At 46.5% G+C, this 1136-nt stretch overlaps 1 annotated feature.

Annotated features, from left to right (window-relative positions):
• Nucleotides 440–622: a silencer, noted in NCBI's record as "fragment chr7:68242059-68242241 (GRCh37/hg19 assembly coordinates)". NCBI's record gives its function as "represses an EF-1alpha promoter that drives an FKBP-Casp9 reporter gene in an ReSE screen in HepG2 liver carcinoma cells {active_cell/tissue: HepG2}" and the evidence as "EXISTENCE:reporter gene assay evidence [ECO:0000049][PMID:32094911]".

Below are 1136 nucleotides of genomic sequence, written 5' to 3'. Positions count from 1 at the left end.
TCTCCCAGGTTCAAGTGATTCTCCTGTCTCAGCCTCCAAAGTAGCTGGGATTACAGGCGCCCGCTAACACATCTGGCTAATTTTTGTATTTTTAGTAGAGATGGGGTTTCACCATGTTGGCTAGGCTGGTCTCAAACTCCTGACCTCAGGTGATCCGCCCTCCTCGGCCTATCAAAGTGCTGGGATTACAGGCATGAGCCACCATGCCCGGCCTCCAGGCTCAATTTGTGTGGTCACCAGTCACCCTCACCATCACCAAAGCCCAGAGTCCTTCCCCCATTCCCCGTATCCAGTGAATCACCCAACTCCGCCAACATTTTCCCCCATTTTTTTAAATGTAGAAAAATTCACGTAACATAAAATTTACAGTCATGTTCATTTTTAAGTGGACAGTTCAGTGGCATTCACACTGTTGTGCAACCATCTCTCCCATCCATCTCCATAACTCTTTGCATCTTGCAAAATGGAATCCCTTGGCTGGGCGCGGTGGCTCACTCCTGTAATTCCAGCACCTTGGGAGGCCAAGGCGGCCAGATCACCCGAGGTCAGGAGTTCGAGACCAGCCTGAACAACATGTGAAACCCCATCTCTACTAAAAAATACAAAAATTAGCTGGGCATGGTAGTGCACGCCTGTAGTCGCAGCTACTCAGGAGGCTGAGGCAGGAGAATCTTTTGAACCCGGAGCGGGCAGAGGTTGCAGTGAGCTGAGATGGCGCCACTGCACTCCAGCCTGGGCGACAAAGTGAGACTCTGTCTCAAAAAAAAAAAAAAAGGAAAGCTTTGAGCCAGAGACCACGTTCAACCCTCCTTTAGCTTTTACTAAGCTCTTTGGCTGGATCTAGAAACCAAATTGACACCAGGCATATTAACAAGAGAAAAATGTACAGATTTTATTAGTTTTACGTATACACGGGATCTTTACAAGGGAGTGAAGTCTGAAGAAGTGGTCAAAGCAAGATGCTTTTATACTTTTTAGACAAAGAAGGATAAATTAGAGAAGAAATGACAGGACATAGGAGATCAGGCCAGGGACAGTAAATTTCTAGGAGTCACTAGGAGATACATGGAAGTGTGCAGAACTAGTGGAAGATAAGGGTTACTTCGGTAAGTTTATTTATTCAGGTCCAATGCAGT

The sequence above is a fragment of the Homo sapiens genome, chromosome 7 (assembly GCF_000001405.40).
Source record: "Homo sapiens chromosome 7, GRCh38.p14 Primary Assembly".
Taxonomy (NCBI): domain Eukaryota; kingdom Metazoa; phylum Chordata; class Mammalia; order Primates; family Hominidae; genus Homo; species Homo sapiens.
Note: the sequence above shows the minus strand (reverse complement) of the source record. Positions and strands in the feature narration are given on the sequence as shown.